Source organism: Homo sapiens, chromosome 16 (genome assembly GCF_000001405.40).
Source record: "Homo sapiens chromosome 16, GRCh38.p14 Primary Assembly".
Taxonomy (NCBI): domain Eukaryota; kingdom Metazoa; phylum Chordata; class Mammalia; order Primates; family Hominidae; genus Homo; species Homo sapiens.
In genome coordinates this window covers 11,898,821-11,921,227 of record NC_000016.10, presented here as the reverse complement: position 1 = coordinate 11,921,227, position 22,407 = coordinate 11,898,821, and the positions used below count along the sequence as shown (strand labels likewise).

At 45.7% G+C, this 22,407-nt stretch overlaps 1 protein-coding gene and 1 pseudogene across 6 annotated transcripts in view, besides 8 other annotated features; both read left to right on the top strand.

The window, feature by feature from the left end:
• Positions 3,332-3,832: an enhancer, noted in NCBI's record as "H3K4me1 hESC enhancer chr16:12011253-12011753 (GRCh37/hg19 assembly coordinates)". NCBI's record gives its function as "activates a minimal SCP1, AML or CMV promoter by ChIP-STARR-seq in naive H9 embryonic stem cells {active_cell/tissue: H9 hESC(naive)}" and the evidence as "EXISTENCE:reporter gene assay evidence [ECO:0000049][PMID:30033119]".
• Positions 4,574-22,407, top strand: part of GSPT1 (G1 to S phase transition 1) — a 48,527-nt gene continuing 30,693 nt past the window's right edge. For 2 of the 6 annotated variants that reach the window (NM_001130006.2, NM_002094.4), the window contains exon 1: positions 5,272-5,859. In NM_001130006.2, the coding sequence (NP_001123478.2) occupies positions 5,508-5,859 (352 nt within the window). In that variant the 5' untranslated portion in view covers positions 5,272-5,507. Of the gene's footprint in view, positions 5,187-5,271; positions 5,860-6,015; positions 6,885-22,407 lie in introns of those variants that run through there. The other 4 variants (NM_001130007.2, XM_047434035.1, XM_047434034.1 and 1 more) reach the window with 4 other exon arrangements.
• Positions 4,883-4,942: a silencer, noted in NCBI's record as "silent region_7214". NCBI's record gives its function as "represses an Ori minimal core promoter by ATAC-STARR-seq in GM12878 lymphoblastoid cells {active_cell/tissue: GM12878}" and the evidence as "EXISTENCE:reporter gene assay evidence [ECO:0000049][PMID:35858748]".
• Positions 4,883-5,828: a biological region, named in NCBI's record as "H3K27ac hESC enhancer GRCh37_chr16:12009257-12010194".
• Positions 4,891-5,828: an enhancer, noted in NCBI's record as "H3K27ac hESC enhancer chr16:12009257-12010194 (GRCh37/hg19 assembly coordinates)". NCBI's record gives its function as "activates a minimal SCP1, AML or CMV promoter by ChIP-STARR-seq in naive H9 embryonic stem cells {active_cell/tissue: H9 hESC(naive)}" and the evidence as "EXISTENCE:reporter gene assay evidence [ECO:0000049][PMID:30033119]".
• Positions 5,133-5,282: an enhancer, noted in NCBI's record as "active region_10460". NCBI's record gives its function as "activates an Ori minimal core promoter by ATAC-STARR-seq in GM12878 lymphoblastoid cells {active_cell/tissue: GM12878}" and the evidence as "EXISTENCE:reporter gene assay evidence [ECO:0000049][PMID:35858748]".
• Positions 5,653-5,722: a silencer, noted in NCBI's record as "silent region_7213". NCBI's record gives its function as "represses an Ori minimal core promoter by ATAC-STARR-seq in GM12878 lymphoblastoid cells {active_cell/tissue: GM12878}" and the evidence as "EXISTENCE:reporter gene assay evidence [ECO:0000049][PMID:35858748]".
• Positions 5,813-6,052: a silencer, noted in NCBI's record as "silent region_7212". NCBI's record gives its function as "represses an Ori minimal core promoter by ATAC-STARR-seq in GM12878 lymphoblastoid cells {active_cell/tissue: GM12878}" and the evidence as "EXISTENCE:reporter gene assay evidence [ECO:0000049][PMID:35858748]".
• Positions 6,093-6,142: a silencer, noted in NCBI's record as "silent region_7211". NCBI's record gives its function as "represses an Ori minimal core promoter by ATAC-STARR-seq in GM12878 lymphoblastoid cells {active_cell/tissue: GM12878}" and the evidence as "EXISTENCE:reporter gene assay evidence [ECO:0000049][PMID:35858748]".
• On the top strand, positions 17,035-17,475 carry COX6CP1 (cytochrome c oxidase subunit 6C pseudogene 1; annotated as a pseudogene).

Sequence of the window (22,407 nt, the reverse complement as noted above, 5' to 3'; positions counted from 1 at the left end):
CAGGCTGTTCTCGAACTCCTGACCTCAGGTGATCTGCCTGCCTCGGCCTCCCAAAGTGCTGGGCATCAGCCACCGCACCCTGCCTAATGATGCAACTCTTGATGGGCTCCTAGAAGACGACTGGTCACCAGAAAGGCCAAGTCATGATTAGAAGCTTGGAACTTTTAGCCCCACATCCAACCTCTCGGTGGGCAGAGGGGCTGAAGGTTGAGTTAATCAGCAACGGGCAATGATACAATCAGTCATGGCTATGTAGGGAAGCCTCCATAGAAACCCAGAAGGACAGGGTTCAGAGAGCTTCTGGGTTGCTGAACACGTGGAGGACCCTTGAGGATGGCACACCTGGAGACAGAATAGGAACTGTATGCCCCTTCCCAGCCCTGTGCATCTCTTCCACGTGGCTGTTCCTCTGTATCCTTTGTAATGTCCTTTATGGGTAACTGTAAGTAAAGTGTTTCCTTGAGTTCTTTTTTTTGAGACGGAGTCTTGCTCTGTTGCCCAGGCTAGAGTGTGGTGGAGCACTTGGCTCACTACAACCTCTGCCTCCCATGTTCGAGCGATTCTCCTGCCTTCAGCTTCCTGAGTAGCTGGGAATACAGGCACCCACCACCACAACCGGCTAATTTTTGTATTTTTTTGGTAGAGACAGGGTTTCACCATGTTGGCCAGGCTGGTCTCAAACTCCTGACCTCAGGTGATTCGCCTGCCTCGGCCTCCCAAAGTGCTGGGATTACAGGCATGAGCCACCGTGTTTGCCCTGTTTCCTTGAGTTCTGTGAGCCACTCTGGCAAATTCCCTGAACCCATGGAGGGGGTCATGGGAACCCCCAATTCATAGCCAGTTGGTCAGAAGCACAGGTCACAATGTGGAACCTGTTATTGGCATTGGAAGTGGGGGCAGTCTTGTGGGACTGATCCCTTAACTTGTGGGATCTGTCCTAACTCTGGTTAATGTCAGAATTGAGTGAAATGATTGCTTATCCTGTTGGTGTCTGTTGAAGAATTGGTTGGTGGTGGGTAGAAACTCCCTCACTTACTGGTGGAGTACAACTGGCCCTTAAACAATGTGAGCCTGAACTGCGAGGGTCCCACTTACACATGGATTTTTTTTTTCAATCAAATGAGGATCAAAAAGACGGGATTCTCAGGATGCAGGAACTCAAGTGTAGGGAGGGCTGACCTTTCATACACACAGTATAGATTGTGGGATTTTAGTATGGTTGGATTTTTGTATCTGAAGGGCTCCTGGAACTAATCCCCTTCCTCTACCCAGAGAGGACTGTACTCTGTGTTGAGCGGTGACTTGTGTGTGAGAGTAGGAAAAACTCTGATTTTTCCTAAGTTTTCTAAATTATTAGTCCTGGGGTGGGGTGTGGTGGCTCATGCCTGTAATCCTAGCACGTTGGGAGGCTGAGGCAGGAGGATCACTTGAGGTCAGTAGTTCCAGATCAGCCTGGGCAATATGGTGAAACCCTGTCTCTACTAAAAATAGAAAAATTACCAGGGGGTTGGGGAGGGGGGGTGGCGGGCACCTATAATCCCAGCTACTCAGGAGGCTGAGGCAGGAGAATTGCTTGAACTTGGGAGGTAGAGGTTGCAGTGCGTGAAGATTGCTCCACTGCACTCCAGCCTGGGCAACAGAGCAAGACTCCATCTCAAAAAATAAAATTAAATTAAATTAAAATAGCTAAGTGCGGTGGCTCACATCTGTAATCCTAGCACTTTAGGAGCCCAAGGCAGGCAGATCACTTGAGATCAGGAGTTTGAAACCAGCCTGGCCAACAAGGTGAAACCCTGTCTCTACTAAAAAAAAATACAGGCCAGGCGTGGTGGCTCACGCCTGTAATCCCAACAGTTTGGGAGGCCAAGGAGGGCAGATCACAAGGTCAAGAAATTGAGACCATCCTGGCCAACATGGTGAAACCCCGTCTCTGTTAAAAATACAAAAATTAGCTGGGCGTGGTGGTGCACACCTGTAATCCCAGCTACTCAGGAGGCTGAGGTGGGAGAATCGCTTGAACCTGGGAGGTGGAAGTTGCAGTGAGCTGAGATCATACCACTGCACTCTAGCCTGGGCGACAGAGCGAGACTCTGTCTCAAGAGTCTCAAGTTATTTAAAAAATAAATAAATAAATAAAATTATTAGCCCTATGTGTCAGCAGTCTTAAATGAGTATCAAAGGACAGTATCATCCCAGCTAAATTGATTAAGCACCTTTTATACACCGGGCATTACACTAGGCAGTGGAAATGTAAAGAAGATTAAGGTAAGACCCTGCCCTCAAGTCGCACAACTTACACACAACTTAGCACAACTAACAAGAAAGACTTTTCCCTTTTCCGCTGGAGCTCTGTTTGGCAGGTCAAAGCTTTGGAAAACCAATGGAGTGGATTTTTTCCTGAATATCCATAATTATCCTATTCAGAGACAAGGAAATTAATGACATCAACTGCTTTTCTAAGCAGCAGTCTGAGCAGTTTCTGCCTTTGTCCCTAGAAAAAGTACCAGGCAGAAGGAAACTCTGCTAATTCAATTAGATGTGAAGAACTAACCTATGAGAAAGTGATCATTCAGTGCTGTAGGAGTGCTACATGGAGGAGAGTAGTATTCAAAGACAAAATGCTTAGAGAAGGATGTGTAGTTCATTATTTGAGTCAGCTGATTGTGTTGACATTTTCTTAGGGGTGGGTGGGTGGGGAGTGAAAATCTGGAAAGAGAAGGCATTTCATTTAGAACACATTGTATTTTTTCTTGTGAATATAAGATGAAAATCTTTTATTCAATAGCAATACAGGTCTCGCATAAATGAAGTTCTAATTTTCATAACAGTTGTTAAGTTCTCTGTAAATCTGACAGTCACTTAATACCAACTTTAAAATGGACATTGTTAAGTATGATTCAGTGAGGTCTTCAGGTATAATAATAGGCTATAACCAAAACTTCCTATTAAGCAGAGGCAAACTCTGCCGGGTGTGGTGGCTCACACCGATAAGCCCAGCACTTTGGGAAGCTGAGGCAGGTGGATCGCTTTTTTTGTTTGTTTTTTGAGACAGAGTCTCGCTTTGTCGCTCAAGCTGGAGTGCAGTGGCGCGATCTCGGCTCACTGCAGGCTCCGCCTCCTGGTTTCACGCCATTCTCCTGCCTCAGCCTCCTGAGTAGCTGGCAATACAGACGCCCGCACACCACGCCCGGCTAATTTTTTGTATTTTCAGTAGAGACAGGGTTTCACCGTGTTAGCCAGGATGGTCTCAATCTCCTGATCTCGTGATCCGCCCACCTTGGCCTCCCAAAGTGCTGGGATTACAGGCGTGAGCCACCGCGCCCGGCCTAACTTGTATTTTTAGTAGAGACGGGGGTTCCACCACGTTGGCCAGGCTGGTCTCGAACTCCTGACCTCACGTGATCCATCTGCCTCGGCCTCCCAAATTGCTGAGATTACAGGTGTGAGCCACTGCGCCTGGCCGGTATGTGTTTTTTTAATCCCTAAAGCTTGGTAGTTTAATATTAAATTCAAATTACTGTAGCCTAGGACTCTTTTGAAAAATACTTGACAGCTTCGTTTTTGACCTATCTCATTAGGCTGAGTTCTCTTTTATCTTTACAATACAGATGTTTAAAATTAAAATACAGATCGGCCGGGCGCGGTGGCTCACGCCTGTAATCCCAGCACTTTGGGAGGCCGAGACGAGCGGATCACGAGGTCAGGAGATCCAGACCATCCTGTCTAACACGGTGTAAACCTCGTCTCTAATAACAATACAAAAAAAATTAGCCGGGCGTGATGGCGGGCGCCTCTAGTCCCAGCTACTCCGGAGACTGAGGCAGGAGAATGTTGTGAACCCGGGAGGCGGGCTTGCAGCGAGCCGACATCGCGCCACTGCACTCCAGCCTGGGCTACAGAGCAAGACTCCGTCTCAAAAAAAAGAAAAAAGAAAATTAAAATACAGATCTAGATCTGGATTTTGTTAGGTTTTTTTTTTTTTTAACAACCTAAGGTTGTTCAGAAACATCTATTCTATGTATGTGCTTCTTTAGTCTGTAATTTCTAGGCAGATTAGTTGCACCCTGTCTAGACTCCTTTCAGAAAAATACTAACAATATGTTTTTCTCTGTCTTGGGCTCCACATGGGTGAATTACAGGAAAGCTTAACAGGTACTCAGAGCAACATTTTTTCCTACTTCATGAAGGGCCTAAATGCGAACTCTTAAGTATTTCTCGTTTGCTTTTGTTCTTTTCCCAGGTTTACCTAATCTGTAAGTGTAAGATGCAGTCGATGAAAAGTACTATGGGAATTCTTGAGCAAATCAGACCATTCAAAAGGAAACCACTTCACGTAATGGTGCATAAGGAAGCTAGACTCACCAAAATAACCCTGTTAGGTAAGCCGGATACACCATGGAATACGGCAATCCTCTGTTTAATTTGCAAACCCTTTGGCGGGGAGGAGGAAAGGATGGAAAAATTTGGGTGAAGGCTTTATATGACTAGTCAAACAAACGGTGAGTCATTGAAATTTTCCAGTTAACAATCCCTTCTGCCTGGGCAGAGCCTGGGCCCCAGCGCTTTATGAGCCACACTGCAGTTTTAAGCCGGAATATCTCACGGTTTTATTGTTTCTTCCACGAAATGATTACATAAAATGAAATCAGCTTTGCAATCTGCACCGGCTTTGAAATGAAGGGCAAAATCTGGCTGGGGGTGAGGAGAAAGAAGGTGGAGAGAGAATAAGGTACGGAGACTGTGAGGCAGAGAACGCAGGAAAGGTGGTGAAAAGAGAGTACAAGAATTTTCGGGAGCTGAGTGTATTTTTCTTCCCCATGTTATAGATGCTGTCCGTTTTCCCCCAGCCTGTGTCCAGCAGGCCAGAGTGGACCCCTCCTATGGGCTAAAATACTCTCGGTCTTCGGCCCAGCACAGAGCTGCACCAACCAGGGCCTGCCGCTGCCCCCCCACCAGGTGACAGGTGGGGCCGCCGAGCGGCCACCAGACCTCCGCCTCCTCGCGTTGCCTGCCGGGAGCCGGAGCCGCTTCCGGTTGCGCCCTGTCCCTGAACTTCGACTCCCGTCGGCCCCCGGGAAAACCGCAGCGGGGTAGCGCGGGCGCTGCCGGAACTTGTAGTTCCACCTCCCGCCGCGCTAAATAGCCGGAAACGGGGGCGGCCAGAACAGAGAACTACCGAGGCGAAGGTACGGGTGGCGGCGAGGGGTCAATCCGCGCCGGGGGTGGGGTTGGCTGTGAGGCCGTCGGAGGTGGTTGGGTGGGAGGAGATCCGCTCACACACACGAGGAGGAGGGTTGAGCTGCCGCCGCCGCCGCCTCTGTCGTCGTCGCGAGTGTGGAGTCGGGACTGGAGCTGCTGCCGCGGCGACGCCGGGGATCTTTGTCGCTAGCTCCCGGCCCTTCTGCCCCGCCGCCTTCCCTCAGTCAGCGTTGCCCACTCCTCTCCGGCCGGGCGCCCCTGCCTCCATTTCCCGCTCTCTGTCCACCACACACACGGCCCCCCCGATCATGGATCCGGGCAGTGGCGGCGGCGGCGGCGGCGGCGGCGGCGGCGGGAGCAGCAGCGGCAGCAGCAGCAGCGACTCGGCGCCTGACTGCTGGGACCAGGCGGACATGGAAGCCCCCGGGCCGGGCCCTTGCGGCGGCGGCGGCTCCCTGGCGGCGGCGGCCGAGGCCCAGCGGGAGAACCTCAGCGCGGCCTTCAGCCGGCAACTCAACGTCAACGCCAAGCCCTTCGTGCCCAACGTCCACGCCGCCGAGTTCGTGCCGTCCTTCCTGCGGGGCCCGGCAGCGCCGCCACCCCCAGTTGGCGGCGCCGCCAATAACCACGGAGCCGGCAGCGGCGCGGGAGGCCGTGCGGGTAAAGGCCCGGGACGCGGGAGGAAGTCCGGCCGGGCGCCGGAGCCCACATGGCGTAGGGGTGCGGTCCGGGGGCGCGCGGCCCTGGGGCCCGGTCGGCACGTGGGGCGCTGACAGTGGCGCCGTCTGCCTGGGTGGGGCGCCCCGAGCCCGGGAGCCGGCCTTCGCGGGGCGGCCCGCGGCGGTGGCCGGGCGGGGAGCGGACAGCGGGCAGCGCGCCCAAAGACCCGGACCCGAGTGCCGCCCCTCCGCGCCCCTGCCCTGCTCTGGAGTCCGCAGTTACCCACTTGAGATGGGAACCGTATGGAACGGAGTGGGGGCCGCGGCGGATCCCTGCCACGAGGCGCAGAATGAGGACAGATGGAGCCAGGAGTCATTTGGGTGGGCGTTTAGAGATCCCAGGAGTTGGGGAGGACGAATGGCCGAGTTTTCCTTTCACCTTAGGCCCAGCCGAGAGAGCGTCTTCTGCTGCGTTTTCTACTATTGAAACTGTAATTACGGTTTAAACTGTCCGTGGCCCCCAACCGTCCTGAAGGAATCCCAAGATGCATTGCAGCCTTGTGATCGGGCAGAAACTTGGCTATCAATACCAAGATCTGTTTTACCCTTAGCATTGTGTACGCTTCTAAAGTTTACAAAGTGCCACAAAGTTAGGATTCCTCACTTAATGTGTGATAGGAGACTATATTGATTTGTGTCTTTTTAAAGTGAAGCTTACACTTTTATCCTTTGTCAGCGACACGTTTAGAGAATTTTCATTGCTGTAAAATCGTTGACCTTATTCAGATTGCTTGGAATAACTCACTGTGTTCGTGCATCAGTAGTTCAGTCTATTTCTTCAGACACTTGAGCATTTGTTATAATTTAATAGTTCTCACGTGTCTTTCTGACCGTAGCTAGTAGACATACATTTTCTAATCCATAAAATTTCGAGTTAACTTTGGTTTTTAAACATCTTCCCGTACTTAGGGGTTGCTTAAGTCGTAGGTAGCATGCTTGCAGGTGCTGACGTTGTAGGAATATCCGGTGAGTGAACTTATGTATTCTCATAATGGTGCTTATTTTGTGGTAGGTAGCTTGCTTTCAGGTACTGATTTTGTGGGAATGTCAAATGAGTGAACTTAAGTATTCTCTTCCTAATGGTGCTTATTTTAGGAACTATCAGTGTTTCCTTAAAGAGAAAATGAAAAAGGAAGGAAAAGGCTGAACGTCCTTTCATCATTTAGCCAGGACGTTAGTGGGGTGGGTCATGACATCCAGCGCATTTTAAGTGAGAACATATTGTTGATTTCTCTCTTTAAAGTTCTGTATTGTGGTGGTTCTTAGATAAGTGGACATTATAAAAGTGCTCCAGGAGTTTGGTTTCTACAGAAACTTTTGTCACCGTTTGCTCTTTCGTGGTAAAGGGATAGTGTCTGGAGAAACACTCTGATGACGTATGTACGTCAGCACGGTTGATTTGGTGGTTTTGTTGACAGTGGCATTTATTTGTGTGGGTGGTTGATGTTTTCTTTTGAGGAGATCGAGCACTTTCAGGGTGGTACGGCTCTAGACAATGTTTTCCTCTTGAATAAGGAAGCTTAGCTTGTAATTCTTGACTTACATCAAGCCATTTTGACTGCCTAACCTAGTTCACTTCTCAGCTCCTAAAAGTGCCCATTCCCTACCTTACTTTGCAGATTCCGTTTATCCAGCCATTTTCTTTCTTGGCTCTTCCTCCTTTCTGTGGAGCCACCAGCACCACTCTGACTAGACTCAGGACTCCATTTACAGCCTGTCCAGCGAGTCATCCGGGGATAACCAACCTTGGTCTAGAATGGTCACTGTTGGTGACTAGGTATTACCTCTTATGCGGGCTTTCTCTCTTCCTGATAGTTGCTAATTTGTAGTTACACCTAATCTTTTTCTCTTTGACAGTGCTAGAAATTGGAGATGCGAAAACCTGTAGGGAAGTAGCTGTCAGTAAGAGAATCCGTACAGCATGGTCAACTTTCTTGTTTTTAATCAAAAAACTATTTTGGTGTTACCGACTTTACCAATTGCTTGTACCAAAATGCCAGTTCATGTTTTTAAAAAATTATCCTATGTAGGATGTCTATTTGGAAAAGAACTGATTTTCTAAGTTGAGGTCCAGGGTTATATTGAGACTGTTGGATTGCATGTTCCAGACTATTAAGTCCATAAAAAGCCAGCATCGGAGAACAATCAGTGCTTATAAAAAGCAGGGGGATAAATAGGAAATAACACCTGGATTGGAACTTACAAAGGGGGAACCAAAAAGTTTGCAAGGTTTTTTTGATAGCGAGGAAGTGGACAATAGGGCTAGCATGTTCTGTTCTTTAGTTAAGCCATAGCCGAAATTTGTGCTGGGTGTGTTTTTAAACTGCATGCCGGGAAAGCTGTTGAAGGAGCCTGGAGAGTCAGACCTTGGGATTCAGTATTGACCTTGGATCTCTTTGAAAACTAAAGAATATAGGTTCCTTAAGAAATAATTAAGTGGAACCCATTTAAGTGTAATTAAGTGTAATTCATTTAAGCACAGTTCTCTAGAGCCAAGTAAATTGGCCAAGAGATTCTCCTTAAAAAGTGAGGTCCCCAAGTGAATAAAAATATAGAAGACAAGGCTTAATGTATATTAGAACAAGCATTTTATCTGATAGGATGTATTTAAGTTGCAATTTGCACCTAGTTTTTTTTATTGTTAGATAAGAAACTGGTTTAGTAATTTTAGGGTTACTTGAACTTTTTAGAACAGCCAGAGCTTCTAAAGTAATGATGTGGTGTTCTTTGCATCATCCCACCTTTAATGCTTCTCAGAACTCACTGCCATTAAGAAACAAGCATGGAATAAAACCAGCAGCCCTCAGTACTTACTTGGAGGAGGCACTGTCTCCAAAACTTAGCAGATTGTATTGTGGAACTTGAATTTTAAAGAGAAACATTCTGTTTTGTAGTGTTCCGTATTTGCTGAATGCCTTATTTATTGGAAGAGGAGGTTTTTTTTTTGTTTTTTTTTTTTTTTGAGACGGAGTCTTGCTCTGTTGCCCAGGCTGGAGTGCAATGGCACGATCTCGGCTGACTACAACCTCCTCCTCCCAGGTTCAAGCAATTCTCCTGCCTCAGCCTCCCGAGTAGCTGGGATTACAGGCACCTGCCATCATGCCCAGCTATTTTGTGTGTGTGTGTTTTTGCAGGGATGGGGTTTCACCATGTTGGCTAGGCTGGTCTTGAACTCTTGACCTCAGGTGATCTGCCCGCCTTGGCCTCCCAAAGTGCCGGGATTACAGGTGTGACCGCGCCTGGCCTTTTTTTTTTTTTTTTTTAAATGATTGACATTTAACTTACACACTGTAAAATTCACCCTTTTCAACTGTACAAGCTGGGCGCATTGGCTCACACTTATAAACCCAACACTCTGGGAGGCTGAGGTGAGAGGATTGCCTGAGGCCTCCATAAAACATAGTGAGACTGAGACCCTGTCTCCACAAAAAAAAAAAAAAAAAAAAAAAAAAAAATACAGCTGGGTGCAGTGGCTCATGCCTGTAATCCCAGCACTTTGGGAGGCCGAGGTGGACGGATCACCTGAGGTCAGGAGTTCGAGACCAGCCTGGCCAACGTGGCGAAACCTGTCTCTATTAAAAATATAAAAATTAGCCAGGCATGGTGGTGCGCGCCCGTAGTCCCAGCTACTGGGGAGGCTGAGGCAGGAGAATCACTTGAATCTGGGAGGCGGAGGTTGCAGTGAGCCGAGATCACACCACTGCACTCTAGCCTGGGCGACATTGACACTCTGTCTCAAAAAAAAAAAAAAAAAAAAATAGCTGGGTGTGGTGGCACAAACCTGTAGTCCCAGCTACTTGGGAGGTTGAGGTGGGAGGATCTCTTGAGCCCAGGAGCTGGAGGCTGCAGTGAGCTATGATGGCACCATTGCACTCAGCCTGGGTGACCAAATGAGACACTGTCCAAAAAGAAAAGTAAAGTGTACATACAGTTCAGTGGCTTTTAATATATTTGTAAGGTTATGCAACCATCACCACTTGGCAGATGCTTTTTAGAATATTCTCAGTTTTAAGCTGGAACATCTCAGAAGTGACCTCTTCAGGGCCACCAGAGTAGAGAGGATTCCAAATCAAAGTAATGGTTGTTTAATCCAGAAAGGCCCTTACACTTTATTAATATGTTAAATTCTATCTGTTGAGGTAGATAATAGGTAAGATTCTGTATTTGAGAATGTGTTTTTGAGACTGAAGTGCCTGCAAGAACAGTGCTCATATAAAGGTGTTTTTAGGCTTCAGTGGGACAGCAGATGGGGTAGAGGAGAGGCCCCACAGTATCCCTGGAGTATCACAGTAGTAAACACTGCCTTTCGTTACTTCTCCTGCCATGGCTGACCTTTTTGTCTCTTGTTTCATGGTTTTACACGTATGAATGGCTTGAGACTGAGGATTTAGGGAAGAAGCGAAGGCATCATCTAGGGCTGTGCTGTGCCAAGTTGAGCAGTTGTTTAAACTGTTAGAATTTTTGACTGGTGTAAAAACCCTCTTTGGAGCAGGTATTACGTAGTGCTGTCAGTACATATCTTATTGCATTCTTCTGTTCTTTATTTTTTACCTTTTCTGAAGTTGCACAGCGTGAAAAGACAGCAATTTCAGTTTGAACAAGTTAAGGAAGTAATGTAGACGACAAAGTTTAAGCCTTGATTTGCTTGCTTTGGTTTGCTGGGGAAGAAATGTCTGAAAGTGTTCAGATAGTATTTTCTTTCTGGTTGAAGAGAAAGGAATGAAAAAGAGATTTGATAACCTTCTGGGTTGAGTTAGCAGTATTGGAATGGAATTTTTTTCCAGAAATGCGAATTTCTGGTTTTGCTCAGATATATGTACTAGCGACTCATTAACAAACATTTACCAGTCCACTGAATGAAAGATGCTATGCTAGGCACTTGAAATAACACCAAGATGAATAAATTGTGGTCCTGAAGGAATCTAGAAAGGGATCAGATGCCCAGTGTACTCTAGTGGAAGTCACAGTGTGGTAAGTGAGCCCTGCAGAGAGTGTAGAGAAGGCTTTCAAAGCCGAGAACAGCAATCCCTTACGTAAAACCTCTCAGTCTTGTCACTCTCATAAAACTAAAGATTTATCTATTATCTGCTCACTGTTCTTTGCGAATGCCTTGTGTGTATTTTTTTTTCTGGCCTCCTGGGCCAGAGTTGCAGCCAAAGCCTGATCACCAAGGTTGTGTGTATTTTAAAAAACTTTTTACTTATTATTTTTTAGAGACGGGATCTTACTTTGTCACCCAAGCTGGAGTATAATTGTGTGATTATAGCTCATCGTAACTTCAAATCCCTGGGCTCAAGTGATCTTTCACCTCAGCTTCCTGAGTAGCTAGGACTATAGGCACCCACCATGACGCCTGGCTAAGTTTTTTTGTTTGTTTTTGTTTTTTGAGATGGAGTTTCGCTCTGTCACAGGCTGGAGTGCAGTGGCCCTAACTCGGCTCACCGTAACCTCTGCCTCCCCAGGTTCAAGCGATTGTTCTGCCTCAGCTTCCCAAGTAGCTGAGATTACAGGTGCCCGCCACCACGCCCAGCTAATTTTTGTATTTTTAGTAGAGATGAGGTTTCACCATGTTGCCCAGGCTGGTCTCGAACTCTTGACCTCAAGTGATCCACCCGTCTCGGCCTCCCAAAATGCTGGGATTACAGGCGAGAGCCACTGTGCCTGGCCAAGTTTTGTATTTTTAAGTTTGTCGAGAGTGCTGAAGGTAGAGCACTGGTTATCTTTTTACAGTACTTGTCTATTTCGTATTAAACAGCAGTGAGTTCAGTTACTATGAGTCTGGCTAGTGTGTCTATTGGGGCATGTTTAGAATTTCATCATTCTACCCTTGGTTTTAAAATATCTTCGGGAGACAAGAATTTGGCTACTAGTTGAAGGATCTGAGGTCCTCAGAACAATCAAGAAAACTGACAGTTTTTAGCTGTTGATTGTTGATTCATTTCAAGGCTTAGAAGTTTCTGCCTTGTTTTCAGTAGAGTTTAACAAAGTGAGCCGAGACTGTAGATTTATATGGCTCCTTCGTAAATGGCTTTGTTCTAAGGAAACCTAGTTGTTACAGTACTCTAAGTTGAACCAGTTTCCCATCATAATTCTACTTTCAAAGAGAGAAGAACACTTAATAAGGCTTTCCCGAGCACCTGACCTAACAGTGGTGACACTCACTTCCAAACCACATTCCCACTAGGTAATTGTATGTCGCTTCACTTGAAAAAAAAAAAGCGCATTCTGCAGAATGTCACTGGGTAATTTCCTGGTTGAATATTTCTGTAGAACTCCAGTATGTTACCATACTACTTGTCCATTGCCTTTAGGTGGTTAATTTTGGTAGCAGAAAAATGTTTCGGTTATTTTTTTATTTTTGACATGGAGTCTCCCTTTGTTGCCCCGGCTGCAGTGCAATGGCGTGATCTCGGCTCACTGCAACCTCCACCTCCCGGGTTCAAGCGATTCTCCTGCCTCAGTCTCCTGAGTAGCTGGGATGACAGGTGCGCACCGCCATGCCTGGCTAATTTTTGTATTTTTTTTTTTTTTTTTTTTTTTTTTTTTTTTTGAGACGGAGTCTCGCTCTGTCGCCCAGGCTGGAGTGCAGTGGCGGGATCTCGGCTCACTGCAAGCTCCGCCTCCCGGGTTCACGCCATTCTCCCGCCTCAGTCTCCCAAGTAGCTGGGACTACAGGCGCCCGCCACTACGCCCGGCTAATTTTTTGTATTTTTAGTAGAGACGGGGTTTCACCGTTTTAGCCGGGATGGTCTCGATCTCCTGACCTCGTGATCCGCCCGCCTCGGCCTCCCAAAGTGCTGGGATTACAGGCGTGAGCCACCGCGCCCGGCCTAATTTTTGTATTTTTAGTAGAGACAGGGTTTCACCATGTTGGCCAGGATGGTCTTGGTGGCTACTGACCTCAAGTGAGCCACCCACCTCGGCCTCCCAAAGTGCTGGGATTACAGGTGTGAGCCACCGCACCCGGCTGTTTCTGTTATTTTTGTACTTTTTTGAGGGTATCTGAAATGGTTTTGGTTTGTGTATTTTAAATGTTATTTAAATGGTTTTTTGTTTCTTTTTTGTTTTTGAGATGAATCTCTCTATGTCGCCCAGGCTGGAGTGCACTGGCACGATCTTGGCTCACTGCAACCTCTGCCTTCCTGGTTCAAGCGATTCTCCTGCCTCAGCCTCCCAGGTAGCTGGGATTACACGTGTGCACCACCATCCCCAGCTAATTTTTGTATTTTTAGTAGAGACGGGGCTTTGCCATGCTGGCCAGGCTGGTCTCGCACTCCTGACCTCAAGTGATCTGCCCACTTCAGCCTCCCAAAGTGCTGGGATTACATGTGTGAGCCACCGCGCCTGGCCTCAAATTGTTTTTGAAGTAGTTAGGTTGTAGCTCATAAGACTGTCTTTCAGGGTTGTTTGAAAAACATAATGGAATTTTAGTTACTCTATGCAAAGTCTGATCAGGTTGATAATGTGGCATTGCTTTTGTGTCCGAATAAAGAGGTTCTTAGAATGTTAGCGCTGGATACGACCCTAGCAGTTGTACAGCCTCTTCATTTTCAGATAAAGGAACTGGAGCCTTAGAAATGCTAAGTAAATGCCTAAGGTCACTCACAGAGTTAATGACACCATTGAGTCTAGAATGCAGATTTGCTACCTGCTAGTTTAGTGCTTGATCTGCCACATCATGCTGTTTAATAACAGGGGGCGGGAAGGGCATGCCTGGAGCTAATTACTACAACTAGCGTGTAGTTTTCTGAGAGTGGCCCTGGCATTTGCCTAATGTTTCATTCTTAAAGGTTTTTGAAATTATTTTGGGGCTTTGAAGTGCTTGCTGTAATAAATTTATTGAGCATTTACCACCCCTTATCAGTTATTTAGTCTTCACAACATTCTCTTGAGGTTAGGTACTGTTGACCCATTTTACAGATGAGAAAATAAAGGCTCAGTAAAGCTAAATAACTTAGGTCAGTCATATCCATGAGAGGAGTGAGGCTTGGAATCGAGGTCATTTCAAAGTTTATTCTAGTAGTGACTGCTAGTGCTTTCCTTGTGATTTTGTATTAAAGTAGACTGAGACTCTCCAGAAACTGGACCTGTGAGCTTGGACCATGGCATTTCTCTGTGTTCTGTCTCAGTAGTAGCAGAATGACATTTGTCATAAGTAGGCAGTGCTCTGATTTAAAGCAATATTTTGAAATTACTTCTTTTTACATTTTAGCAAGTGTTGATGTAAAATACTTTAAAACAGCTCTGTTCACCACTGTCTGTACCGAGCCTTTTTATTTTTAGAGTGTTAGGTAATTAAGGCAAAACCATCCACATTGTTTTATGTGTTCTGTAGACTTCTTTCTGGTGTTTGCTTTTACTGTTTTTCAGTATTGTCTACAGGAGAAAAAAAGAAAAACCTCAGCTTGCAAATTTTTGTTCAGAGATGGGATCGTTCTTTGTTGTTGGAGGGATTTACATTAAAAAAATTCAAGAAATATTGTCTCATGTGATCTTACCAGATAAGTGCCTATTATTAAGACTTGTTGGCTGCTGGATTTATTATCTTAGCCTAATTTTCTTTCTGAGTTAAATGAATCTTGCTTTTTTATCGTTACCACCCTGGCATAATCCAATGGGAATATAGTATGAACCACATAGTTAATTTAAAATTTTCTTTCTTTAATTTTGTTTTTTGAGACAGGGTCTCACATTGTTGCCCAGGCTGGAGTTCATTGGCACAATCATAGCTCACTGTGGCCTCAACCTCCTGGGCTTAAGTGATTCTTCTGCCTCAGCCTCCTAAATAGCTGGGACTACAGTTGTATGCCTCCACGCCTGGCTCATTTTTACATTTTTTTTTGTAGAGACAGAGCATCACTGTGTTGCCCTGGCTGGTCTTGAACTCTTGGCCTCAAGCAACCCTCTTAGCTTGGCCTCCCAAAGTGCTGGGTTTATAGGCGGGAACCACCACAGCTGGCCCAACATCTCCTGAGTGTAGTGTTTCCCTAACCCCTTCTTAGAAAGTTGGCACATTTAAAATTGTTTTCACTCTCTTGAGCCCTAATGGAAATGCAATGAATGTACAGATGGAGGCTAGGGGTCCTGGTCAGAAAAGGGAAGTGAGGCCAGTTGTGGTGGCTCATGCCTGAACCCAGGAGGTGGAGGTTGCAGTGAGCCCAGATTGTGCCACTGCACTCCAGCCTGGGCGACAGAGTGAGACTCCATTTCAAAAAGAAAAAAGAAAAGTGAAAAAATGAAGTGATGTGACTGGAAGGAACCAGTGTGAAAATCAAAGGAAAACACAGTAATTCAGTAAAAATTGATTGTGTATTTATTCTATACAATACATCATGCCAACTTGTTGAGACTACTGAAGTAGAGAAAAAAGTCATCCACCCACAGTTCATTCTGGAAGTCTACAATCTAGGGAACAAGAACTAAGATACATGTGTACCTATAATTTATTTATTTATTTACTTACTTATTTTTGAGACAGAGTCTCGCTCTTGTCGCCCAGGCTGGAGTGCAGTGACTCAGTGATCTCAGCTCACTGCAACCTCCACCTCCCCGGTTCAAGCCATTCTCCCGCCACAGCCTCCTGAGTAGCTGGGATTACAGGTGTGTGCCAGCAGACCCAGCTAATTTTTAATTTTTTAGTAGAGACGGGGTTTCACCACGTTGGCCAGGCTGGTCTCAAATTCCTGACCTCAAGTTATCTGCCCGCCTTGGCCTCCCAAAGTGCTGGGATTACAGGTACAGGTGTGAGCCACTGCACCTGGTCCCCATGTGTGCCTCTAATTTAAAGAGGTGTCATGTCCTAGGGGAGTGATCATTAGCCCTTCAGGGTAGGGGATGGACAGGGAATGGGATAGAAATGGGGGATTAGGTAGGCAAGTGTGTACTACAATTAAGGAGAATCCTTGAGCTAGAACTGTTATCCAAAGTGTAATCGAGAACCACATGTGGCTATTTAAATTTATTAAAATTAAATTTAAAATTCAATTCCTCAGTCATAATAGCCATGTTTCCAGCGCTTAATAACCACATGTGGCTGGTGACTATCATGTCACAGCACAGATATAAAACATTTCCATCACTACAGAAACTTGGACAGAATTTTGTCACACATATTTCTTACTTTCATGCAATGTGAGACACTTCTGTGACAGATCCGAAGTTGTATTTTTCTTTAATGAACACCCATTTGGCTAACAAAACTACAGTTTCACTCAGGATGCCTGTGTTTTGTTGTTATTGTTTGATACAGGGTCTTACTCTGTCACCCAGGCTGGAGTGCAGTGGTGTGATCACCGCTCACTGCAGCCTCCACCTCCCAGGTTCCAGTGATTCTCCTGCGTGGGACTACAGGCCTGTGCCACTATACCCGGCTGATTTTTAAATTTTTTGTAAGGACGAAGTCTCCTTGTGTTTCCCAGGCTGGTCTCAAACTCCTGGCCTCAAGTGATCCTCCTGCCTTGCTTCCCAGAGTGTTGGTTTTACAGGCATGAGCCACTACACCCGGCTTGAAGATTAGTTTTGTATCTAAAGCAGTATGAATTTAAATTGCTGATTTATGAAATACATGCATCAAGCACTTTTTAAGACTTAGCCAAACATTTGTGTTTAAAACATGTAACTTGAATCAAAACGTAGCTTTTTTTTTTTACCTGCCATGATGTCTGTGGCCTTGACTGACGTATGCTGTGAGGATATGCTGGCCAAGTAGGATTCTCCATATTCAAGTCCTTTGACCCATGATCATAGCTTTAAAAAAAAATTGTACACTCTTTTAAAAAATTGAAGCAAAATCCACATAACATAAAACTGGCTGGGCGCAGTGGCTCACGCTTGTAATCCCAGCACTTTAGGAGGCCAAGGCGGGCGGATCACAAGGTCAGGAGATCGAGACCATCCTGGCCAACATGGTGAAACCCCATCTCTACTAAAAATACAAAAAATTACCCAGGCGTGGTGGCGCGCGCCTGTAGTCCCAGCTACTCGGGAGGCTGAGGCAGGGGAATCGCTTGAACCCAGGAGTCGGAGGTTGCAGTAAGCCGAGATTGCACCACTGCACTCCAGCCTGGCAACAGAGCAAGACTCAAAATAAATAAATAAAATAAAATAAAATAAAATGAGTCAGGAATGATGTTGGTGTTGAGGTTGGCATACGTATCAAGGACAGTAACTACCATGGCTCCCGAAGTGTTGCCAAAACCTCAGATGTGTGGCCTTCTGGCCAAGCGTCTGCGATTTCAATGTTTGGAGCATTCATGGTGTCCCTGGGGGTTGCAGCTTTGTATGAGTTTGGTGTGGGTGAACCAAGAAAGAAGGCATATGCAGATTTCTGCAGAAATTATGAGATTTTGAGCAGATGAGGAAGGCTGGTATCTTTCAGTTTAAAGTAATCTTGGAATATAAAGAATTTCTTCAGGTTGAATTACCTAGAAGTTTGTCACTGACTCGTGTTCCTGAACTACGACACATGAATATGTGGGCTAATAGTTCGTCTTGATAAACAATTAACAAACAAATAAATAAAGCCATTTTAAAGTGAACAATTCAGTGGCATTTAGTACATTCACACTGTGTTGTACAACCAGCAATTCTATGTAGTTCTAAAACATTTCCTTTTTTTTGGAGACAGGGTCTCACACCGTGGTCCAGGTTGGAGTGCAGTGGTGCGATCTTGGTTCACTGCAGCCTCCCTCCACCTCCCGGGTTCAAGTGATCCTCCCACCTCAGCCTCCCAAGTAGCTGGCACTACAGACATGTGCTACCACACCCAGCTAATTTTTATTTTATTTAATTTTTTTGAGACAGAGTCTCACTGTTATGCCCAGGCTGGAGTGCAGTGGTGCAATCTCGGCTCACTGCAACCTCCGCCTCGCAGGTTCAAGATTGCCAGATTCTCCTGGCTCAGCCTCCTGAGTATCTGGGATTATAGGCACCTGTCATCACCCTGGCTAATTCTTGTATTTTAGTAGAGACGGGGTTTCACCATGTTGGCCAGGCTGGTCTCAAACTCCTGACCTCATGTGGTCCGTCTGCCTCAGCCTCCCAAAGTGCTGGGATTATAGTCATGAGCCACCGTGCCTGGCTTGAAACTGGATTGATAGTTAAAATTTGATTATGGTGAAGCAACACAAACACCACATATTCTATGATTCCATTGACATGAAGTATTCAGAAGAGGTAAATCCACAGAGACAGAAAACAGACATACTGTTGGCTGCCAGAAGCTAGGAGAGAGTATGGGCAGTAACTGCTAAATGAATACGGGTTTCCTTTTGGGGTGATTAAAATGTCTTGGAAGCCGGGCGCGGTGGCTCACACGTGTAATCCCAGCACTTTGGGAGGCTGAGGTGGGTGGATTGCTTGAGCTCAGGAGTTGGAGACCAGTCTGGGGAACCTATTGAAACACCATCTCTATAAAAAATTTAAGGCCAGGTGTGGTGGCTCATGACTGTAATCCCGGGACTTTGGGAGGCTGAGGCAGGCAGATCACATGAGGTCAGGAGTTTGAGACCAGCCTGGCAACATCGTGAAACCCCCGTCTCTACTAAAACTACAAAAATTAGCTGGGTGTGGTGGCACACGCCTATAGTCCCAGCTACTCGGGACTTAAAGCAGGAGAATCGCTTGAACCCAGGAGGTGGAGGTTGCAGTGAGCCGAGACTGCGATAGTGCACTCCAACCTGGGCGACAGAGCGAGACTCCATCTCTTAAAAAAAAAAAAAAGATCCAGTTCCAGTTTATCATGTGTATCACAGGCAGTACTGGTGTTCTGCTGTTCTCTGGTAAAGTCTTCACTTCATGTTTTAAAATTTGTGGTAATGTACCAAGTACCACAGTCAAGTCATTAATCTTCCTTTATTATAAATTATACTATTAGTTTTGCCTCTTTTTTTTTTTTTTTTTTTTTTGAGACAGAGTCCTGCTCTGTCTGTTTTTGAGACAGAGTCGTGTCACCCAGGCTGGAGTGCAGTGGTGCGATCTCGGCTCACTGCCAGCTCCACCTCCCGGGTTCATGCCATTCTCCTGCCTTGGCCTCCCGAGTAGCTGGGATTACAGGTGCCCGCCACCAAGCCCGGCTAATTTTTTGTATTTTTAGTAGAGACAGGGTTTCACCATGTTAGCCAGGATGGTCTCGATCTCCTGACCTTGTGATCCACCCGCCTCGGCCTCCCAAAGTGCTGGGATTATAGGCATGAGCCACCGTGCCTGGCTTTTTTTTTTTTAAGATGGAGTTTCGCTCTTGTTGCCCAGGCTGGAGTGCGATGGTGCAATCTCAGCTCACTGCAACCTCTGCCTCCCGGGTAGCTTCCTGCCTCAGCCTCCCAAGTAGCTGGGATTACAGGCACAAGACACCGTGCCCGGCAAATTTTTGTGTTTTTAGTAGAGTTGGGGTTTCCTCATATTAGTCAGACTGGTCTCAAACTCCTGACCTCAGGTGATCCGCCCGCCTCCACCTCCAGAAGTGCTGGGATTACAGATGTGAGCCACCATGCCCAGCCTAGTTTTTCCTCTTTTTTTTTTGAGACAGGGTCTCACTCTTTCACCCAGGCTAGAGTGCGGTGGTGCAATCTTGGCTCACTGCGACCTCTGCTACCTGGGCTCAAGCGATTCTCCTGCCTCAGTTTCCTGAGTAGCTGGGACTACAAGCATGAGCCACCATGTCTAGCCTAATTCATATATATATATATATATTTTTGTGTGTGGAGATGGGGTTTCACCATGTTGCCCAGGCTGGTCTCAAACTTAGTTTTTCCTTGTAATTTGGGGCATGGCAGTTGCACTCAGTGGTAAACCCTGAAAGCTTTCCCACTTAGAAAAAATTGTTCCATTTTTAAATAGTTAATAAAGGTGTGTTTCTAAACATAGAGATAACACTGGAAAATTTGAAACTGTAATTTCATTCCTTGAGAGGGTTCTAACTTCCTTTACTAGCAGCTGTGAACCATGTAGGATGTGAGAAATTACACCCTAATCATCTATTTCCTAGCCATGAACAGTTCAACCTCGGAAAATTCTAAGCCCAGGCTCATTAGTAGCCAGTAAAATCTGGATGTTATGTGAGTCATGAATAAGACCAGAGTAGAATGAACAAGTAAAGGTTTACTGTGTATGTATGAAGATAGGGTAGAAATATATCGGTTTTATTTTTATTTTTTGAGACAGGGTGTCACTCTCTCGCCCAGGCTGGAGTGCAGTGGTGTAGTCAGGTCTCATTGCAACCTTGACCCTCCCAGGCTCAGCCCCCGGAGCAGCTGGGACTGCAGGCGCATGCCGCCATTCCCGACAGTTTTTTGTTTTTTGTTTTTTGTTTTTCTTTTTTTGGTACAGGTGGGGTTTTGCCATGTTGCCCAGGCTGGTCTCAAACTCTTGCCATCCTCCCACCTTGGACTCCCAGAGGTTTAGGACTACAGGTGTGAGCCACCATGCCCAACCCATTTGCAACTTACAATCCATTGTAAGTTGAGGAGCCATCTGTATTGTAAATCTAATAGTTGGTGCCAGGAACTAAGTGGTCAGGTGTAAGTACTGTTTTGTTTTGAAAAGCTGTTACAGTTAGTGATACACTTGAGAGTGGTGAGGAAGCCCACCACACCCGTCATTTTCCTGCCTTAAGATACGCAGTACATCATAACTGTGTGTCCGTCAGAGCTTAGTTTACTTGTACACTGATTTTCAGCAGGGACTATCTGAGGAAGGGGAAGATGGCACTTGCATAACTTGGAAATGCCTGCAGTTGATTCTGATGTGCCTGTATGTTAGATGGTAGTGATTACAGGATCTGTTTCCTAAGGCTTTTGGTGGGAATGAGCTAGCAGTCGGCACTTAGGGCTCAATAAAAATTAGTTAAAGCAAATTGCTACCCCCTCCATCCCCCACTCCCTACACAATATGGATTTGTGAGTACTTTTATCCTTGTCTGGCCCATAATAGATACTCAATACATATATATATGTATTCATTTTTATTAATTTTTTTTTTTTTGAGACGGAGTTTCATTCTTGTCCAAGCTGGAGTGCAGTGACGTGATCTTGGCTCACTGCAACCTCCACCTCCCGGGTTCAAGCGATTCTCCTGCCTTGGCCTCCCGAGTAGCTGGGATTACAGGTGTATGCCACACCCAGCTAATTGTTTTGTATTTTCAGTAGAGACAGGGTTTTGCCATGTTGGCCGGGTTGGTCTTGAACTCCCGAACTCAAATGATCCCCCCGCTTCCGCCTCCCAAAGTGTTGGGATTACAGGTGTGAGCCACCGTGCCTGGCTGATACTCAATACATATTGATAGGATTGAGTTGGAGTAGTTACATAGCAGATGGAGACACATTTGTTGAATACGCCAGGAGTTCTTTAACTGACACTAAACAAATTATTCTCCCATTTCCTCCCATAAACTCCTCAACAATCCTCTCAGGTAGATGGTATATCATTTCCACAATTTCAGTGGAATAAGTGCAGGCACAGCTTGTAATAAGCCAGGAGTTAAACCTAGGAGTCAGCTCAGTTCCAGGCTCTGAGAAGTACCCCATGCAGTCACCTCCTTCTTAGGGTGGCCTGTGAACTTGATACTCTCAGTACTACCTGGCTTCCTCTGAAAACTGAGTAATTTTTCCTTACCTTATCCTTAAACTTTTCTTGAAAATGGAAAAGCAAAAAAAAGTTAATCTGTATTGTGTTGAAGTACAGTTTCTGCCTCCTTCCAAACCAGGTTCAAATGCGTTTCCCCCCTGTTTGTTAATGTCCTGCTCATCCCACAGCTTGGGGTCATCTTAGACCTTTTACTCTCCCTTTCTCCCAACTCCTGTCAGGTGTAGCCCCCATCCCCTCCTAGTTGTATTGCTTGGTTGTCTCCATGGCATGCTTTCTTGCAGTGGTGATGTGGGTCTTCCTGCCTGTGGGGTCTTGCCCACTCTAGTTCATGTAGTTTAAGCTGCAAGAAAAAGATCTTCCTAAGTGACAGTCTGAGCCTGTCACTTAAAAAAAAAAAGAAAACAATTTGGTTGTCCTTTACCTATCAGGGACAGGAAATTACTTTACTCAACATTTGATGCTATTGAAGGTTGGGCCCAAAACACTTTCTCTTGACTCTTACAGGTATTGATCCTTTCCGGGCAATGATTTTACAGGTTACAAATTCATTATTTTTTCATACTTGCTGTGCATGATTCATATGATTTAATTCTTTAGTATCGTTTTCTGTCGTGGAGATTCTTTAAAGCAGGGGCACGTTCATATTGGAGTATAATTTAGGTTTGTCTGTATCTGACAAACTAAAATCCAAAAAGCAGACTTAGATATTTGGTTATTAGTATGTATTTCTCCTACATCTCTTCCAGTAATGTCATAAGTAAATTTGCAGTGTGGCAACTGGAAACTGGATTGTTGCTTGGTTTTAGAGTTCTAGTATAGGAAAAAACTGGCATCATTGGAATCACCTTTTCTGCAGATATTTTTAATGGCTTATATATGTTTCAGGACTTTATACACATGTCATTTA